This window comes from Homo sapiens, chromosome 15 (genome assembly GCF_000001405.40).
Source record: "Homo sapiens chromosome 15, GRCh38.p14 Primary Assembly".
Lineage (NCBI taxonomy): Eukaryota > Metazoa > Chordata > Mammalia > Primates > Hominidae > Homo > Homo sapiens.
Window position 1 is genome coordinate 73957940 of NC_000015.10, and position 20612 is coordinate 73978551.

The 20612-nt window shown below is 45.3% G+C and overlaps 2 annotated features.

The window, feature by feature from the left end:
• Positions 7987–8136: a silencer, noted in NCBI's record as "silent region_6643". NCBI's record gives its function as "represses an Ori minimal core promoter by ATAC-STARR-seq in GM12878 lymphoblastoid cells {active_cell/tissue: GM12878}" and the evidence as "EXISTENCE:reporter gene assay evidence [ECO:0000049][PMID:35858748]".
• Positions 15265–15474: an enhancer, noted in NCBI's record as "active region_9731". NCBI's record gives its function as "activates an Ori minimal core promoter by ATAC-STARR-seq in GM12878 lymphoblastoid cells {active_cell/tissue: GM12878}" and the evidence as "EXISTENCE:reporter gene assay evidence [ECO:0000049][PMID:35858748]".

The following is a 20612-nucleotide window of genomic DNA, read 5'->3' on the forward strand; positions in this document are numbered from 1 at the left end:
CCCATTTTGTAGATGGACAAACTGAGGCACAGAGAAGTCATGTGACTTGCCCTAGTTCCGTCAGCTAGTGAATGGGAGAGCCAGAATTCCAACACAGGCACATTTCTGGAGACAGGGCATAGGTTCCTCCAGATCCTCAAAGGCATGTGGGACCAGGAAAGAAGCCATAGGTCTGTGCTCTGAAACATGGCAAGAACACTGTTCAAACCATCCCATCATCTCCTTCCTCCACGAGTCCTCTAGAATCATGTGTGGCTCCTGGAAACCGCAGCTTGAAAAGGATTGGTGAGAAGCCTAATTCCTCCTAGAAGTAGTGTGGTAGTGTAATTCAGACTTAGATTGTTCTTTATGGGTGAGAGAGAGGGCAAATTACAATAGATAAACTGGCTGGGTGCCGTGGCTCATGCCTGTAATCTCAGCACTTTGGGAGCCTGAGGTGGGTGGATCGTTTGAGCCCAGGAGTCTGAGATCAGCCTGGGAAACATGGTGAAACCCTGTCTCTACAAAATACACAAAAATTAGCGGGGCTTGGTGGTGCACGCCTATAGTCTCAGCTATCTGGGAGGCTGAGGTGGGAGGATTGCTTGAGCTCAGGAAGTGGAGGTTGCAGTGAGTTGAGATTGTGCTGCCGTACTCCAGCCTGGGCAACAGAGTGAAGCCCTGTCTCAAAAATAAATAAATAAATCATCGGCTAGTCAACAAAATATTAATAGAAAAATATGGGATTAGAAGGGATAAGAACACAGCCATGGAGATGACTTTTGAAATTGAAGAAACTAGTGCATGCTTATAAATTGGAGTGTCCCAACATTAAATAATAATTTTCTAGTATTTCTAAATTGCCAAAATTGACTCGAGTGAAAAGCACAAAAAGACCAATTACCACAGAAGAAAATTTAAAAATTATCATCTCTAAGAAAGACACCAGCCCTAGGGAGTTTTAGCATGAGTTATTTCAAACTGGAAGAACAGTGAATTTCTGTGTTATGTAAACTCTTCCAGAGCATATGGGGAAAATGCTGAATTGATTTTATGCTTCTGAATTGATTTTATTAAGCTAATCCTAACACCAAACTCTGATAAAGATTGCTATCCTGCGCCACCCACCCTCACGCTGATAACCACAGACCAATTTTACTCCTGGCTGTGAATACAGAAGTCCTGGATAAAATGCCACCAGTGGAATCCTGTACCATTGTAATACCAGATGCAGCCCGTGTTTGGCATGCTTTCCCCTCCACCAGATGTGTGCTAGGGCAAAACTGGAACCTGATATCTGGGTCCAGGCAATTTGGACACAACATTCACTTCTGTGGTCCTAAGCGCCCCCTCTCAGGAAGCAAAGAGTAAAATGAAGCAGGTGTCCAAAGCTTGCAAATATGCAGAAAGGCTACAGCTTGGATTACTGCTGTTGACTGGCAACATAGTTAACCACAATATCCTGTTAGAGTGATCATTCATCATTTCTTTTTTTTGTTTGTTTTGAGACTGAGTCTCTTTCTGTCGCCAGGCTAGAGTGCAGTGGCGCTGTCTCGACTCAGTGCAACCTCCATCTCCCGGGTTCAAGCAATTCTCCTGCCTCAGCCTTCTGAGTAGCTGGGACTACAGGTGCCTGCTGCCATGCCCAGCTAATTTTTTTATTTTTAGTAGAGATGGGGCTTCACCATGTTGGCCAGGCTGGTCTCAAACTCCTGACCTCAAATGATCCACTCGCCTCGGCCTCCCAAGGTGCTGGGATTACAGGTGTGAACCATCATGCCCGGCTGTTATTTCTTTTCCTTGCTGAGAAGTTCTTAAGTATTTTTTGTGCTTTTTTTCCTTTTTATGGTAGGTGGCTACCTTCTCTACCTTTTCCCTGCAGGGTTTGATAACATGATTGAATAAGCAAGTCCTAATAAATGCCCTCTTTGCTGTATCAACATGCATACCCCCGAAAACTTGGGAAACAGTGCCTGTCGTGCCCTGGGAAACCGAATCCTGGGCCCAAGGGACATGATCCAGCTGGTAGTGCCCCTGTGCCAGGTGAGAAAAAGAGACCTTGCCCTCTGCTGGAGTTGCAGCAGCCTGGGAGCTTCTCAGCCAGGGAACAGATCATCGCTGCAGCTGGAGGACACCCTATTTCAGATATGTGACATCAGAGGCCATCTCATTTCTGATTCACAGCCATTGCCCCTTCCACTTCTTCACAAAAATTCAAGTATATTAAGAAATACATATTTTTTTGAGACGAGGTCTCACTCTGTCGCCCAGGCTGGAGTGCAGATCATGGCTCACTGCAGCCTCGACCTCCTTGGGCTCAGGCAATCCTCCCACCTCAGCCTCCCAAGTGGCTGGAACTAGAGGCACGTGTCACCATGCCTGGCTAATTTTATTTATTTATTTTTTGTATTTTTTTGCGGAGACAGGGTTTCGCCATGTTGCCCAGTCTGGTCTCAAACTTCTGAGCTCAAGTAATCCTCCTGCCTCTGCCTCCCAAAATGCTGGGATTACAGGCATGAGCCACAGTGTCTGGCAAAGAAATAATCTGCATACAGCAAAATTTACCCTTTTTAGGTGAACAGTTTGATGAGTTTTGACAAATATATGCAGTGATATAAATACCCCCACAGTGAAGATGTAATACCTCCATCACTCAGGACTTCCCTCTTGCCTCTTTGTGCTCCGTTTTCTACCTCCCACCTCCAGCCCCCGGCAACCACTAAGCTGTTTTCTGTTTCTGTAGTTTTGTCTTTTCCAGAATCTCAAATATGTGGAACCACATAGTATGTGGCCTTCTATATCTGGCTTGCTTCACTTAACATAATGCTTTTTTAATTTAAATTTTATTTTTATTTATTTATTTTTGAGACTGAGTCTCACTTTGTGGCCCAGGCTGGAATGCAGTGGCGTGATCTTGGCTCACTGCAACCTCCGCCTGCCAGGTTCAAGCAATTCTCCTGTCTCAGCCTCCCAAGTAGCTGGGATTACAGGCACACACCACCATGCCTGGCTAATTTTTTATATTTTTAGTAGAGGCGGGGTTTCGCCATGCTGGCCAGTCTGGTCTCCAAATCCTGACCTTGTGATCTGCCTGCCTTGGCCTCTCAAAGTGCTAGGATTACAGGCAGGAGCCACCGTGCCAGGCCTATTTTTCATTTTTGAGACAGTCTCACCCTGTTGCCCAGGCTGAAGTGCAGTGGTGCAATCTTAGCTCACTGCAACCTCTGTCTCCCGGGTTCAAACGATTCTCCTACCTCAGCCTCCTGAGTAGCTGAGATTACAGGTGCCCACCACCACGCCTGGCTAATTTCTGTATTTTTAGCAGAGACAGGTTTTCTCCACGTTTGCCAGGCTGGTCTCTCAAGTGATCCGCCCACCTCGGCCTCCAAAGTACTGGGATTAGAGGCATGGGCCTCTGCACCCGGCCTAATCTTATTTTTAATTGTAAACTGACAAATAACAGTTGTATCTATGGAGTATGAAGTGATGTTATGATGTATTAATATGATGTTGAATAATCAAACTGAGCTAATTAACATATCCATCACCTCAAATACTGTTCTTATTTTTTGTAGTAAGAACATTTGGAATTTATTCTGTTGATAATTTTGAAATGTACATTATTTAAGATATTTGACCAGGGGTGGTGGCACATGCCTGTAATCCAAACACTTTGGGAGGCCAAGGCAGGCGGATCACTTGAGCTCAGGAGTTCAAGACCAGCCTGGGCAACATGGTGAAACACTGTCTCTACAAAAAACACAACAATTAGCTAGGGATGGTGGTGGGCACTTGTAGTCCCAGCTGCTCAGAAGGCAGGGATGGGAGGATCACCTGAGCCCAGGAGTTTGAGGCTGTAGTGAATTATGGTCTAGCCACTGCACTCCAACTTGGGTGACAGAGGGAGATCTTGTCTGAAAACAAAAAACAAAAACAAAGTGGCTACATGCTCACCAGACACATTATATCCTCTTTTTTTTTTTTTTTTTTTTTTTTTTTTTTTTTTTTTTTTTTTGAGACGGAGTCTCACTCTGTTGCCAGGCTTGAGTACAGTGGTGCAATCTCGGCTCAGTGCAACTTCTGCCCCCTGGGTTCAAGCGATTCTCCTGCCTCAGCTTCCCAAGTAGCTAGGACTACAGACACGTGCCACCACACCTGGCTAGTTTTTGTATTTTTAGTAGAGACAGGGTTTCACCATGTTGGCCAGGATGGTCTCAATCTCTTGACCTCGTGATCCGCCTGCCTCAATCTCCCAAAATGCTGGGATTACAGGCATGAGCCACTGTGCCTGGCCTGTATCCTCTTTTTAAAAGCCATTCTAGTAGGTATCCTGTGGCAGTCATCTTTCCATATTCCTGGGGACTGATTCCAGGACTCCTGAAAATAGGAAACCCCGGGCATGCTCAAGTCCCTGATATAAAATAGTGCAGCGTTTGCATATAACCCAGGCACATAACCCGCTCTACTTTAATTTATCTCTAGATTACTTATGATCCCTAATATAATTTAAATGCTATGTAAATCGTTGTTATGCTGTATTGTTTTTATTTGTATTGTTTTTATTGTTGTATTGTTATTTTTTTCAATATTTTTTATCTGTGTGTTCACTGTGCAGTTGGTTGAATCCGTGGATGTGGAACCCGTAGATACCGAGGGCTGACTGTATTTCATTCTGGTTTAAATTTTCATTTCCCTAGTGACTAACAATGTTGAGCATGTGTTCATGTGGTTGTTTGCCAGGATATCTCTTCTTTGATGAAATTTCTGTTCAGATCCTTTGCCCATTTTTAATTGGCTTGTTTGTCTCATTATTGAGTTGGAAGAATTCTTTATCTATTCTGGATACAAGTTATTCATCAGTGATATGTTTTGCAAATATTTTTTCCCAATCTGTCGTTTGTCTTCTCATTTTTTACTAGTACCTTCTAAAGAGCGGAAGTTTTTAATTTTGATAAGAGCCAATTTATCGGTTTTTTTTCCTTTTATGGGCTGTGTTTTTTGTCCTATCTAAATCTTAACTTAAACAATGTCACAAAGATTTTCTGTAAGCACTGCAATAAATGGTATCCCATGAGTTTTTAGGACTAAGTTCTAATTTTTGATTTTGCCCAAATTTCTATCTAAGGGATCTAGGGAGTCATGCCCTACAAATCCTAAATTCTCATCAGATGGGTTTTATTTATATATTGTGACTTACTTTTCAATCTGACTCTGGTATAACATTACGAGACAAGGAAAAAATATTTAACCCCAAAATATATTTCCCTGCCATAGCTTGAAATTGCCCTGCAAGTCTCTTGTGGGAAAAATCCACATTCTATAGAGAATCCCCTTGCCCCTTTGTTTTCCTTCCTTCCTTTCCAGATCCAGGAGATAATCAACTAAGAGCCAGGCACTCTTTTAGGTCTAATAAGAAACATTTTACAACCTGCTCTCTCTCTCCTCTCTGTCTGAAGTCTGCTATCTGAGAGATTCCTCTGCACAATAAAACTTGGTTTCCACAATCCTTTATTTTAACCTGAACATTTCCTTTCTATTGATCCCAGATCTTCAGACAAACTCAACCAATTGTCAACCAGAAAATGTTTAAATTTACCTATAGCCTGGAAGTCCCCACTTTGAGTTGTCCCTCCTTTCTGAACCAAACCAATGTATTTCTTAAATGTATTTGACTGATGTCTCATGCTTCCTAAAATATATAAAACTAAGCTGCACCCCGACCATCTTGGGCACATGTTCACATGTTCTCAGGAGCTTCGGAGGGCTGTGTCACGGGCCATGGTCACTCATATTTGGCTTAGAATAAATCTCCTAAAATATTTTACAGAGTTCGACTCTTTTCATCGACAGTGTTGATATGTTGTATTTTTATTTCCATTAGAATATTTCTAATTATCCTCATGGTTTCTTCTTTGAACCATAAGTTATCTAAAAGTGTGTTGTTTGATTTCCAAACATTTGGGGACTTTCCAGATATCTTTCTGTTACTGATTTATAGTTTAATTTCATTATGGTGAGAAAACATACTTTGTATGATTTCAATTATTTTTAATTTGTTAAGATTTGCTTTATGGCCCAGAATATGGTCTATCTTGCTAAAGTTCCATGGGCACTCAAAAAGAATGTGTATTCTGCTGTTGTTGTGCGAAATGTCCTATAAATGTCAATCAGATTGTTGGTTATTAGTGTTATTCAAGTTACCCATACCCAGCCTGATTTTCTGTGTACTCGCTCTACCAAATATTGAGAGAAGAGTGGATGTGTCTATTTCTCCTTTCAGCTCTAACGGTCTCGATTGCATGTACCCTGACTGTGTTCTCCAGTGCACATGCATGGACAGTTATGATGTCCTCTTGATGAATCAACCCCTTTATATACAGTCCTTCTTTATTCCTGGAAATATTCTCTGTTTCTGCTTCATCTGACATTAATATAGACACTTGAGCTTTCTTTGGATTAGTGTTTGCATGGCATGCCTTTTTTCCATTCCTTTGGTTTTAGGCTATCTAGGTCTTTATTATTATTTTTTATTTCTTTTGAGACAGAGTCTCGCTCTGTTGCCCAGGCTGAAGTGCAATGGCGTGATCTCAGCTCACTGCAACCTCCACCTCCCGAGTTCAAGCGATTCTCGTGCCTCGGCCTCCCAAGTGGTTGGGATTACAGGCATGTGCCACCACATCCGACTAATTTTTGTATTTTTAGTAGAGATGGGGTTTCACCATGTTGGCCAGGCTGGTCTCGAACTCCTGACCTCAGGAGATCAGCCCGCCTAGGCCTCCCAAAGTGCTGGGATTACAGGTGTGAGCCACCGCCCCAGCCCTAGGTTTTTATATTTAAAGTGTGTTTCTCACAGACAGCCTGAGGGTCCCGGAAATTTTCTGGAAGTTGCGGCTCCACCCTCAGCTCTCAGCAACCCCTGCTCGCCTGCACTACCTAGGGGATGCGTGGTCTTGCCCTCCTCCTGGTGGTAAATGTCTCTGTGTGCTCTTGCCCGCCCCCTGGTGGTAAATGCCGTTGCTGCTACTCTTGGTTGGGCTAGTAGTGGAGGCAGTTTGTGGACGTGTGTTAAAGGGTTTCCGGACGGTGGGATGTTGCTCCATTCTCCTGGCCCAGCCTCCGCAGAGCCTGTGTACTAGGGTCTCAGAAGGTGGAGTCTTCGAAGTGCTCCTGTCCCTCCTGTCGTGCCTTCTATCTCCTGTGGGTTTAACACAGGAGAGTGCGTCCTGCGCCTCCCACAGGGGCAAGTGGTGTTTACTTTGATCCTGCCCCAGAAGCAGTGGATCTTCGTTTCTGCCTCTCCCGCAGCAGCCCTGGGGCCAGAGAGTGCAGCCTCCCACGTGGTTTTGCCCAGAGAGAATCGTCCTGGGGAAGCAGGTGGGGGTCGCTGCACAGCAGTCAATCACCGCTTGAGTGCTTGTGCCACCAGCAAGGGGGAGGGGTCTCTCCCGGCTCCCCCTCTGCCTCCAGTCTTTTTCCTGCAGTGAAGGCCTGTGCAAAAAGCTCAGAAGGCAGGGCAGACTCCCTCCTGCCCACCACATGCTCTGCCCAAGACAGTTGGTCTTGCCTTTCCTTGGAGGGGCTTGTCACTCTTTGGAATTCAGTTCTCTTGGTTGCCTGCCACCTCAGCTATCTGACTGGTTTAAGAAATTATGGTTTTGCAAATTATCTGGTGTTTTGTTATTGTTAGAGTCGGGGGGCGGGGTGGTTCATTCCTGTACTCCCAGCACTTTCGGGGGTGAGGTGGGTGGACCCTTTGAGCCCTGGAGTTCAAGACCAGCCAGCCTGAGCAACATGGGGAAACCCTGTCTCTACAAAAAAAAAAAAAAAAAAAAAAAAAAAATTAGCCAGACATGGCGACAGGAGCCTGTAGTCCCAGCTACTCAGGAGGCTGAGGTGGGATGATCACTGGAGCCCCCCCAGAAAAGAATGGGAATGATGTTCCCTTGTGGTTTTTCTATATCCTAAGAGGAAATAAAACACTCTTCTCTTTCACTTTTAACATATGCAAATGAGTGACTCTAAATGCCTTCTAGGGCAATGTCTCATGGCTTACAGTGCCTCGTGGTTTTTCTCATTTCTTTCATGATTGCAGCTGTATTTGCTACCACTTGTGCAGCTGACATTTACCAAGCCCTTACTGTGTTCCAGCATGCTTTCATTTAGAACCATCCCTGACTCCTCTTTTCTCTCAAACCCACGTTCAATTTGTCAGATAATCCTGTTGGCCCCATGTTCAAAATATAACCAGTTCCTTTCAAAAATAAAAATGGACTTATCATAAAACCCGGCAATTGCACTGTCATGCATTTTTCCCAGAGAAATGAAAACTTATTTTCATGGTGGAACTTGTACACAAATGTTCATAGAAGCTTTATTTATAATAGCCCTAAACCAGAAAATACTCACAAACTATGGTATATTCATACCACAGGATACTATTCTGCTGTAGAAGGAATGAACTATTGGTACAAGCAACAACTTGGATGAACTTTTGCTGAGTGAAAAAGCCAGCCTCAAAAGGATACATCACTGCATGATTCTATTTACACGGCAAATAATATAATTAGAGAGGGAATAGACTAGTGGTTGTCAGGAGTTAGGAATGTGTATTAGTCCGTTCTCCTCTTTCTATAAAGAAATACCTGAGACTGGGTAATTTATAAAGACAAAAGGTTTAATTGGCTCATGGTTCTGCAGTCTGTACAGGAAGCGTGGTGGCTTCAGCTTCTGGGGAGGCCTCAGGGAACTTACAACCATGGGGAGGGCAAAGGAGGAGGCAGGCACCACTTACATGGCCAGAGCAGGAGGAAAAGAGATGGGAGGTGCTACACACTTTTGAACAACTAGATCTCATGGTGCTAATCCATTCATGAGAACTCCACCCGGTTTGGTGGGGACCCAGATCAGTACCATATCAGAAGGGAGGGGAGGGTGTGGCTGTAAAGGGGTTACACGAGAGGCTTTGTGGTGATGGTACAGTTGAGCACCTCGGTCATTCTGGTGGCTACTCCAGGCTACACATAGGGCAAATTTACATAGAGCTACTTTGTGGTTGGCTGGGTGCGACGGCTCACATCTGTAATTCCAGCACTTTGGGAGGCTGAGGTGGGGGGATGACGAGGTCAGGAGGTCGAGACCAACCTGGCCAACACGGTGAAACCCCGTCTCTACTAAAAATACAAAAATTAGCCGGGTGTGGCAGTGTGTGCCTGTAATCCCAGCTACTCAGGAGGCTGAGGCAGAAGAATTGCTTTAACCCGGGAGGAGGAGGTTGCAGTGAGCCAAGATTGTGCCACTGCACTTCAGCCTGAAAACAGAGTGAGACTCTGTCTCAAAAAAAAAAAAAAAAAAAAGCTTTTTTGTGGTCTTTGTGCTGATACCAAATAAGTGGTATCATTTCCAACACCAATCGATTTTCTGCTTCTGTGATACCAATTGGGTGTTCAATAATTCAATTCTATTCTGATACTAACCTGGAGTTAGTGTCAGACTCCACAGGCTGAAGGGCTCAGTCCCATAAGACTACCCCCATTTCTCCCAGGCGCAGTGGCTCACACCTGTAATCCCAGCACTTTGGGAGGCTGAGGCGGGCGGATCACCTGAGGTCAGGAGTTCGAGACCAGCCTGGCCAACATGGTGAAACCCTGTCTCTACTAAAAATACAAAAATTAGCCAGGCCTGGTGGCGGGCACCTGTAATCCCAGCTACTCGGGAGGCTGAGGCAGAAGAATTGCTTGAACCCAGGAGGTGGAGGTTGCAGTGAGCTGAGGTCACGCCATTGCACTCCAGCCTGGGCAACAAGAGTGAAACTCCATCTCAAAAAAAAAAAAAATGGCTGGGTGTGGTGGCTCATGCCTGTAATCCCAGAACTTTGGGAAGCCGAGGCAGGCGGATCACCTGAGGTCAGGAGTTCGAGTCCAGCCTGGCCAACATGGTGAAACCTCATCTCTACTAAAAGTACAAAAATTAGCCAGGAGTGGTGGCGAGTGCCTGTAATCCCAGCTACTTGGGGGGCTGAGACAGGATAATTGCTTGAACCCAGAGGCGGAGGTTGTGTGAGCCGAGATCGTGCCACTGCACTCCAGCCTGGGTGACAGAGTGAGACTCGATGTCTCCAAAAAAACAAAACAAAACAAAACAAAACTACCCCCATTTCACATGCCAGTCACAAGTACTGGGTCCCCAGGTTACCCACACTTCTGTCCAGCCAACTACAAATTTGGAGGTTCCCGTGACCTCCATTCCTCAGGTTTGATAATTTGCTAGAATGGCTCACAGAACTCAAAAAAACACATTACTTCACCATTACTGGTCTATTGTAAAAGATACAACTCAGGAACAGCCAAGTGAAGAGATGCATAGGACTGGGTATTGTAGGGTGGGTGTGCAGAGCCTCCCTGCCTGCTCTGGGCGTCACCCCTCCAGCATCTCCATGTGTTCCAACCCAGAAGCTCTCCAAACTCCATTGTTTTGGAACTTTATGAAGGTTCCATTACAGAGGCATGATTGATGAAATCATTGGTCATTGGTGACTGAACTCCATCCCTAGCCACTGTCCACTCCCTGGAGGTCAGAGAGTGAGGCTGAAAGTTCCAACTCTCTCATCATCAATCATGGCTTAGTCTTTCTGATCAGCAGCCTGTATCCAGAAACTATTTAGGGTCCTCATTAACATAAGCTCAGGTATGGTTGAAAGGGGTTTGTTATGAATAACAAAACATCACTGTAACTCAGGAAATTTTAGGAGGGTTTTAAAAGATCTGTGCCAAGAACCAGGGACAAAGGCCAACTCTATTTTTCTCACTATATACATGATTTCCCATTTCCTACAGGCACACACAAACACACACACAAATGGGTGCGTGCATAACTGGTTAGATCTGAATAAACTCAATGGATTGTGCCGATGTTCCATTTCTTCGTTTTGATACTGTACTCTGGTTATGTGAGTTGTTCGCATGAGAGGTAGGGAACATGGGACTTCTCTCTACATTCCTTTGTGACCTTCTGTGACCCTACAATTATTTCAAAATTAACAACTTAGAATACAAATAACCAGAGTCCACCTCCCGCCCTGCTACCAGCCTGGTCCACACCACTCTCTTTTCTTGCCTGGATTATTGCAACAGCCGCTTTTTTTTTTTTTTTTTTTTTTTTTTTTTTTTTTTTTTTGAGATGGAGTCTTGGAACAGTTTCTTAATGGGTCTGCTTTTACATACAATCTATTCTCAATAAAGCAGCTTCGTAAGACAGATCCTACCATTTGTAGAAATAAACAAAAACCATTCAGAGCTTGCTGTAGCAAGGTTGTCAGCCAGCATCACTTGCATTTTTGTAGGGACTCAAAATCAGGCTGAGCCTTATTGTCGGTGGGCCGGGGGTAGGGGTGCGGGAAAGGAGGTGGGGGAAGGCTTGGGGTGTGCCCTGATTGGAGGCTATTGGCCTGGAGAAGCTGGGTGGGATAATTTGGAGGGGATTCTGAGATTGGCTGGGGAGGGGTGGGTGCATATTTGGCTTTCTCTTGCTGGCCCTAAGTTGGAAGCTGGGACAAAAATTAGGGAAGCTGCCAGTTTTTAATCAAGTCCTGGCCTTTCGGGGCTGATTGTTAGAGAAGTTATTGTTTTGCTTCCTGGATGGCTACTGGAGATAGTGATCTGGCTTCCTTCATGTCTGACTTATAGCAGACTGGCATCCTGGGCTGTGGATTCCAGATGAGGGGGTTGGTTTCCTGGGCAGCTTGCTGCAGGTTAGGCTCAGAGTTCTAGTTTCCACAGGGTCTGGCCATGGTGCACGTGTATGTTCAGTCCCTCATGTTCCTCTGCTTAGAACCCTGCAGGGGCTCCCACTGAACACAGCCCTTCCTGTGGCCTACCAGGCCCTACATGAGCTGGCCCCATTTCCCCTCTGGCCTGGTCTTCTGCCACTCTCCTCCCTCTCTCCATCCCAGCCACAATGGCCTCCTTGCTGTTCTAGAACATGCCAGGCCCTCTCCCAAGGCATTCATGGCCTTCTAACATACTGTATGCCTTTCTTATTTTTCTCTCTCTCTCTGTTTCTCACTCTCTCTCTCTCTATATATATATATGTATATACGTACGTATATACCTATATGTATATACATATACACACACACACACACACACATATATATATGTGTGTGAGACAGAGACTCACTCTGTTGCCCAGGCTTGGAGTGCAGTGGTGTGGTCCTAGCTCACTGCAGCCTCAAACTCCCGGGCTCAAGCTATCCTCCCACCTCAGCCTCCCAAAGAGCTGGGATTACAAGCAGGAGTCAATGCACCCGGCCTCCTTTCTGATTTTTAATGCTTATTGCTTATGTCTAGCTCTCACAACTAGAATGTAAATTCCACAAGGACAGGGTTCTTGGTGGGTTTGTTCCCTACTATATCCTTGGCACCTAGAACATTGCCTTGCCCAGCACATAGTGAGTGCCCAATAAAAAATGTTTGAGTGAATCAATGAGTTTGTGCGTACATGTGTGCAGATACATTTACTAACATCTACTACTTCTAATTAGGTGCTCAGTGTTTACTAGACACTATGCTAAGTGCTTTCATCTAGTATCTAATTTTTATTCTTCATAGCTTTCCTATGGGTAGGTGACATCAGGCCACTTATCTTTCAGGTAAAGTGGTCTCAGAGGACATGCTGAAAGCCCATGAGCTTCTCAGGGACCTAAATAAATGTTTAAAACCTGAGAAAAGTCTTGGCTCCAAAATGTAAAAACTACAGAATCATCCAAATTAATAAATGTTTAATCAAATGTCTACAAAGTGTCATCGATTGTTAATTTATGTCATTAATTCTCTATTGGCCTCTTTAATTATTAAATGCAGTGTTCATAAGAATTTCATTACTTTTGAAAAGAATTTGTAGACTAGATGTTAACTCTTGGAGCACAGTCATGTATCTGTTAACCACAGGAATACCATCAGAAAAATGTGTCATTAGGTGATTTCAATGTTGTACAAACATCAGAGAGTGTCCTTACACACTCTGTGATGTGTAGCCTGCTACACACTTAGGCTATAAGAGATAGACTATTGCTCCTAGGCTACAAACCTGTACAGCACGTGACTGTACCGAATACTGTAGGCAATTATAATACAATAATAAGTATTTGTGTATCTAAACATAGCTAAACATAGAAAAGGCACAGTAAAAATATCATATAAAATATTTAAAATGTACACCTGTTTAGGGTACTTACCATGAATGGAGCTTGCAGGACTGGAAGTTGCTCTGGGTGAGTCCGTGAGTGAGTGGTGAATGAATGTGGAGGCCTAGGACAATACTGTACACTACTGTAGACTTTAAAGACACTGTCACCTAGGCTACTACACTAAGTTTATTAAAAATATTATTCTTTGGCAGGGCGCGGTGGCTCACGCCTGTAATCCCTGCACTTTGGGAGGCCGAGGTGGGTGAATCACCTGAGGTCAGGGGCTCGAGACCTGCCTGGTCAACATGGTGAAACCCCATCTCTACTAAAAATACAAAAAATTAGCCAGGCATGGTGGTGGGCACCTGTAATCCCAGCTACCAGGGAGACTGAGGCAAGAGAATCACTTGAACCTGAGAGGCGGAGGTTGTAGTGAGCCGAGATTGTGCCATTGCACTCCAGTCTAGGCAACAAGAGCAAAACTCTGTCTCAAAAAAAAAGTTTTTCTTCAGTAATAAATTAGCCTTAGCTTTCTACAACTTTATGAACTTTAAAATTTTTTTTAAACTTTTTGACTTTTTATAATAACACTTAGCTTAAAACACAAACACATTATGCAGCTATACAAAAATATTTTCTTTTTTTGTATCCTTATTCTATAAACTTTTTATTTTTCAATTATTTTATTTTTACTTTTAAAACCTTTTTGTTAAAAACTAAGACACAAATACACACATTAGCCTAAACCTACATAGGGTCAGGACCATCAATATCACTGTCTTGCACCTCTACACCTTGTCCCACTGGAAGTTCTTCATAGGCAACAACACGCATGGAGCTGTCACCTGCTATTGCAACAATGCTTTTTTTCTTTTTTTTTTTTTGAGACAGAGTCTTACTCTGTCGCCCAGGCTGGAGTGCAGTGGCACGATCTCAGCTCACTGCAGCCTCCACCTCCAAGGTTCAAGGGATCCTCAAGCCTCAGCCTCCCAAGTAGCCGGGAGTACAGGCACGCGCTACCATGCCCAGCGACGGGGTTTCGCCGTATTGGCCAAGCTGGTCTCGAACTCCTGACCTCAGGTGATCCACCTGCCTCGGCCTCCCAAAGTGCTGGGATTACAGGCGTGAGCCACCACGCCCAGCGGACAATGCTTTCTTCTGCAATCTCTCCTAAAGGACCTGCCTGAGGCACTTCTTGAAGAAGTGTCCGTCTTTTCAGAAGTATGTCCATGGTGGTTTGCCAAGTTTGTTTCTTTCTTCCGTCATAGATTTGCATGAGTAATGCTTTGTGTCAGCTAAAATGTTACATCGGCTATGACGTCACTAGGTGATAGGAATTTGTCAGCTCCATTATAATCCTATGGGACCGCCATCGGATACGCAGCCCATCACTGACCTGAGACGTCGTTATTTAGGGTGTGACTGTACTTTAAGAATGCAAATGAATACCCAGGGAGGGCTGAGAACGCGTAGGTAATTACACCATAAATGAATTACTCTTAGCCAAGTAATTTCCAAGGCAAACATACAAAAATCACCTCGTGTTACCTGACAGTGCTATGTTATATTTAACGTAAGAAATCTGTGTATTTTAATATTTAATAAGGTGTGGGAAGGAACTTCCAAAGGTAATAGCATCTGGTCCTAGCAAGGTCTTAAAACGCCGTTTGATTTCAGAATGCCTCATTTTGTAGATTTAATCCAGAATCTGCAGTTTCTGGCGACGCAGTAGTCCGTCTCCCCCAGTTTCTCCTGGCCAAAGCCTCCCACCTTCCTCTCTACCCCCACAACCCTGTCAAGCGCACCTGGACCAGGTACAACAGGGGTGTGTGTGTGAGTGTGAGTGTGTGTGTGAATGCATTTGGGAAAGGCTAGGCAGGGTGAATATTCCCTAGACCCCGCTCTTCACCGTCACTCTACTACAGCAGCTCACTGCCCTGCCCCGCCCCTCCCCGGCCCTGGAAAGCAGCCTCTGGAAAGAGGAAACCAGCTATCTCCCGTGTTGCCACAAGATGGCACCACAAGCTCGGGACTGGCTTTCTTTGCGTTCCCGTCAGAAAAAAACGAGAGCTCTGACCTAGGAGCCGAGGCTCCCAGGGAGACCTCTGGACGCCACTCCCCGGGCTGCTTCTCCTCCTCGGGGTGACTCGGGCCCTCTGGAGTGACCTGCATAGCTTTGTGGTTCGGGCTCCCATGGGGCCCAGAAGCCAGCATGGAGACTTAGGGCTTCTCTTGGGCCACTTTTCTCCTCATACCCAGCATGCAGACCAAGGTTGGGGATGAATTCTGAACGTGGGGCAGAGTCCCTGTCCCCAGAGCAACTCTGAGAGCACCTTGCCCTTCTTCCCAGGGCACAGGCACCAGCCTTCCTCCCCAGCTCAGTCCCTGCTTCTTTCTAAGACAGGTTCTTGCTCTGTCGCCCAGGCTGGAGTGCAGTGGTGCAATTATGGCTCACTGCAGCCTCGACCTCCTCCTGGTGAGAGGTGACAGCGCGCCTGCAGCCCTCGCTCTCGGCGCCTCCTCGGCCTTGGTGCCCACTCTGGCCGCGCTTGAGGAGCCCTTCAGCCCACTGCTGCACTGTGGGAGCCCCTTTCTGGGCTGGCCAAGGCTGGAGCCGGCTCCCTTAGCTTGCGGGGAGGTGTGGAGGGAGAGCCGCGGGCGGGAACCGGGGCTGCGCGCGGCACTTGCTGGCCAGCGCGAGTTCCGGGTGGGCGTGGGCTCCGCGGGCCCCGCACTCGGTGCGGCCGGCCGGCCGGCCCGCAAGCCCCGGGCAGTGAGGGTCTTAGCACCTGGGCCAGCAGCTGCTGTGCTCGATTTCTCGCCAGGCCTTAGCTGCCTTCCCGCGGGGCAGGGCTCAAGACCTGCAGCCCGCCATGCCTGAGCCTCCCCCCAGCTCCGTGGGCTCCTGTGCGGCCCAAGCCTCCGCGATGAGCGCCGCCCCCTGCTCCATGGAGCCCAATCCCATCGACCACCCAAGAACTGAGGAGTGCAGGCACACGGCGCGGGACTGGCAGGCAGTTCCACCTGCAGCCCCCGTGTGGGATCCACTGGGTGAAGCCAGCTGGGCTCCTGAGTCTGTTGGGGACTTGGAGAACCTTTATGTCTAGCTAAGGGATTGTAAATACACCAATCGGCAGTCTGTATCTAGCTCAAGGTTTGTAAACACACCAATCAGCACCCTGTGTCTAGCTCAGGGTTTGTGAATGCACCAATTGACACTCTGTATCTACCTACTCTGCTGGGGACTTGGAGAACTTTTGTGTCTACACTCTGTATCTAACTAATCTAGTGGGGACATGGAGAACTTTCGTGCCTAGCTCAGGGATTGTAAACGCACCAATCAGCACCCTGTCAAAATGGACCAATCAGCTCTCTGTAAAATGGGCCAATCGGCTCTCTGTAAAATGGACCAATCAGCAGGATGTGGGTGGGGCCAGATAAGAGAATAAAAGCAGGCTTGCCCAAGCTGGCAGTGACAACTCGCTGAGGCCCAGTTTACGTTGGCGAAGCTTTGTTCTTTCACTCTTTGCGATAAATCTTGTTGTTGTTCACCGTTTGGGTCCGCGCTGCCTTTATGAGCCGTAACACTCAACCGCGAAAGTCTGTAGCTTCACTCCTGAAGCTAGCGAGACCACGAACCCACCGGGAAGAAGAAAAAACTCCAGACGCACCGCCTTCAGAGCTGTAACACTCACTGGGAAGGTCTGTGGTTTCAGTCCTGAGCCCGTGAGACCACAGACCGACCAGTGGGAAGAAATTCCGCACACATCTGAACATCAAAAGTAACAGACTCTGGATAGGCCGCGTTTAAAAACTATAACACTTACCACGAGCATCCGTGGCTTCATTCTTGAAGTTAGTGAGACCGAGAACCCATTAATTCCCGAAACACACTGGGCGCAAATCTTCCCTTCTCAGTTTTCCAAGTAGCTGGGACTACAGGCGCCAACCACCATGCCTGGCTAATTTTTTTTGTATTTTTAGTAGAGATGGGGTTTCACTGTGTTAACCAAGATGGTCTCAATCTGACCTCGTGATTCACCCGCCTCGGATTCCCAAAGTGCTGGGCTTACAGGTGTGAGCCCGCACACCTGGCCACCAGTTATTTTTCAATTGTTCTGTTTCCCTGTTCTTGCCTTACTAAGAAAGTAATTTTGAAATGACCGATCCGTTCTTTGTTTTTTGTTTCTGGTTTCTTCAGCTTATTCTGTCTGTAAAACCTGCGTCCTCTGCTCCGCTCCATGAAGACGCTCATTCTGTTTTATAGAAGTTAGTAAGTGTGATATATCTATTCTTTGTTTTTGTCTATAGTTCCTGGCTGACAGCCCATATAATCATTGTAATTTCCTAGGAGACTAGAGTGTGATAAGAGTATCTTTCCTTAAAATATTTGGCCTTTCATCCTTTGTTCTTGAAACAGCTCTGGAGCAGCTCCAGAGTAAGCATAAAGGTGAAAGATGGGCCGGGCGGAGTGGCTCACGTTTGTAATCCCGGCACTTTGGGAGGCCAAGGTGGCAGATAACGAGGTCAGGAGTTCGAGACCAGCCTGACCAACATGGTGAAACCCTGTCTCTACTAAAAATACAAAAATTAGGTGGGCATGGTGGTGCATACCTGTAATCCCAGCTGCTCAGGAGGCTGAGGAGGAGAATTGCATGAACTCGGGAGGCAGAGGTTGCAGTGAGCTGAGATCGCCACTGCACTCCAGCCTGGGCAACAGAGCGAAACTCCATCTCAAAAAAAAAAAAAAAAAAGTGAAAGTCGGGCTTGTTGTTTGGAGCCACAACTGAGCTTAACGTTTATAACCACAGGATGGATGGCTGCTTGCCAGGGGATCCAACCGTCTGCTCAGAGCCCCACCCTCCACATTCGGGGAGGAGAGAGGAACCGAAGGTTGATCACCAATGGCCAGTGATGTAATTGATCATGCCTACATAATGAAATCGCCATAAAAACCCGTAACGACTGAGTTCAGGGGTTTCCCAGGAAGGTGGTCTTGTATGGAAGATTTTGTATTCGGGGATGGAAGCTTTTGTATTTGAGGCCCTTCCAGAGTGTGCCCCGTTTATGTCTTCATCTGGCTTTTCATTTGTATCCTTTAAAATATGCTTTATGATAAACTGCTAAACGTAAGCAAATGCTTCCCTGCATTCTGTGAGGTGCTCTAGCAAATTAATCAAACCCAAGAAGAGGGTCATGAGAATCCTGATTTATAGCCAGTTGGCCAGAAGTACAGGTAATACAACCTGGGGCTTGTAATTGGCACTGGAAGTGGGGGACGGTCTTGTGGGACTGGGATCTGACGCTATCTCCAGGTAGATAGTGTTGGAATTGAATTAAGAACACCCAGCTGGTGGCCACTGCAGAACTGGCTCCTTGCTTGATATGGGGGGGTGGGGGAACCCCACACATGTGGTATCAGAAGTGTGTTTCTGGAGTATAGTAGGAGAAATTGAGTTTGTTTTCTGCTCATACACAGAGAAACAAAATCACTAAAGAGCAACAAATTGTATTCTGTTCAGATAATATAGTGGAAGAAATATTCCACTTATAGTAGTACCAAAAAGGATAAAGTACTTAAGAATAAATGTTCAGACGATATAAAGGACATTTCAAAACTTCTAAAGGACACAAAAGACATCAAAACACACCATGTTCAAGGATAGGAAGACTCAATATCATAAAGATTGTCATTTTCTTTTTTTTTTTTTTGAGATGGAGTCTCGCTCTGTTGCTGGGCTGGGTGGAGTGCAGTGACTCAATCTCGGCTCACTGCAACCTCCAACTCCCGGATGCAAGCGATTCTCCTGCCTCAGCCTCTCAAGTAGCTGGGACTACAGGTGCATGCCACCACGCCCAGCTAATTTTCGTATTTTTAGTAAAGACGGAGTTTTACCCATGTTGGCCAGAATGGTCTCAATCTCTTAACCTCGTGATCCACCTGCCTCAGCCTCCCAAAGTGCTGGGATTACAGGCCTGGGCCACCATGCTTGGCCAAAGATTACAATTTTCTATGAGTTACTTGACACATTTAATATAATCCCAATAAAGATACAATATTCTTTTTAAAAAACTACACCAGGTCATTCTAAAGTTCATTGAAAAAACAAACACTAGTCAGATAAAGACACTGACAGTATTCTTTTTAAAAAACTACACCAGGTAATTCTAAAGTTCATTGAAAAAACAAACACTAGTCAGCCATGGTAAGTGGCTTGCATCTGTAGTCCCAGCTACTTGGGAGGCCAAGGTAGGAGGATCACTTGAACCCAGGAATTTGAGGCTGCAGTAAGCTATGATCACACCTGTGAATAGCCACTACACTCCAGCCTGGGCAACATAGCAAGACTCTGTCTCTTAAAACAAAAAAAGGCAGAAGGTCTTTCTTAAGAAGCATTAAAAAGAATTCCTCCTATAGATATTTAACATTTTATGGCACCCCAATAATTAAAGTGGTCCTAGAGAATGGATAAACATTAGCCCAATGGAACAGAGCAGAAAGCCCCACTATAGACCTCAACACAAAAAATTCATGGTGTTGAAAAAAGGGGGATCAATATTTTATACTTTATACTTATTTAAATTCCAAATGAGTTTACAATTTTACAAGTAAAAAATAAAAGAGAATACATTAAATTCTGTTATGATCTCAGAATGGAGGTTTTTTTTACTTATGACTCAAAATCCAGAAGTCATAAAATATTTATCAATTCAAATACATTTTTAAAATTTCATGAGAAAACATTATAAGCAAAGACAAAATGCAAACCAACAAATTGGGTGAAAAATTTACAGCTCATATCAAAAATGGCTAATCTTCCTAATATTTAAAGAGCTCCCAAATGTCAAAAACAGAAATAGAAACAACCAGCACTAGAAAAATGAACAAAGTAGATAAAATAACAGTTTGTAGAAAAGGAGACACATGGCTCTTAAACATATTAGAAGATGCTCAACCTCACTCAAAATAACACAAAAGCAAATGAAAAGGTTTCTAGGTAATTCAATGGGGAAAAGATACCTTTAAACAAAAAGTGCTGGAACGATTGGATATCACCATGAAAAAAAAGAACGTCAACTTTTACTTCACACCATATACAAAAATTAATTCGAAAATGGATCACAGGTCAGGCAAGGTGTCTCATGCCTATAATTCCAGCACTTTGAGAGGCCAAGGCAGGTATATAACTTGAGCTCAGGTGTTTGAGACCAGCCTGGGCAATGTGGCAAAACCCTGTTTCTACAAAAAATATAAAAATTAGCCAGGTTTGGTAATGTATACCTATAATGCCAACTACTTGGGAGGCTGAGTGGGGAGGATTGCTTGAGCCCAGGAGGTTGAGGCTGCAGTGAGCCAGGATTGTGCCTCTGCACTCAGCCTAGGCAACGTATGGAGAGTCTCTCTCTCTCTTTTTTCTTTCTTTCTTCTTCTTTTAAGAGATCAGGTCTT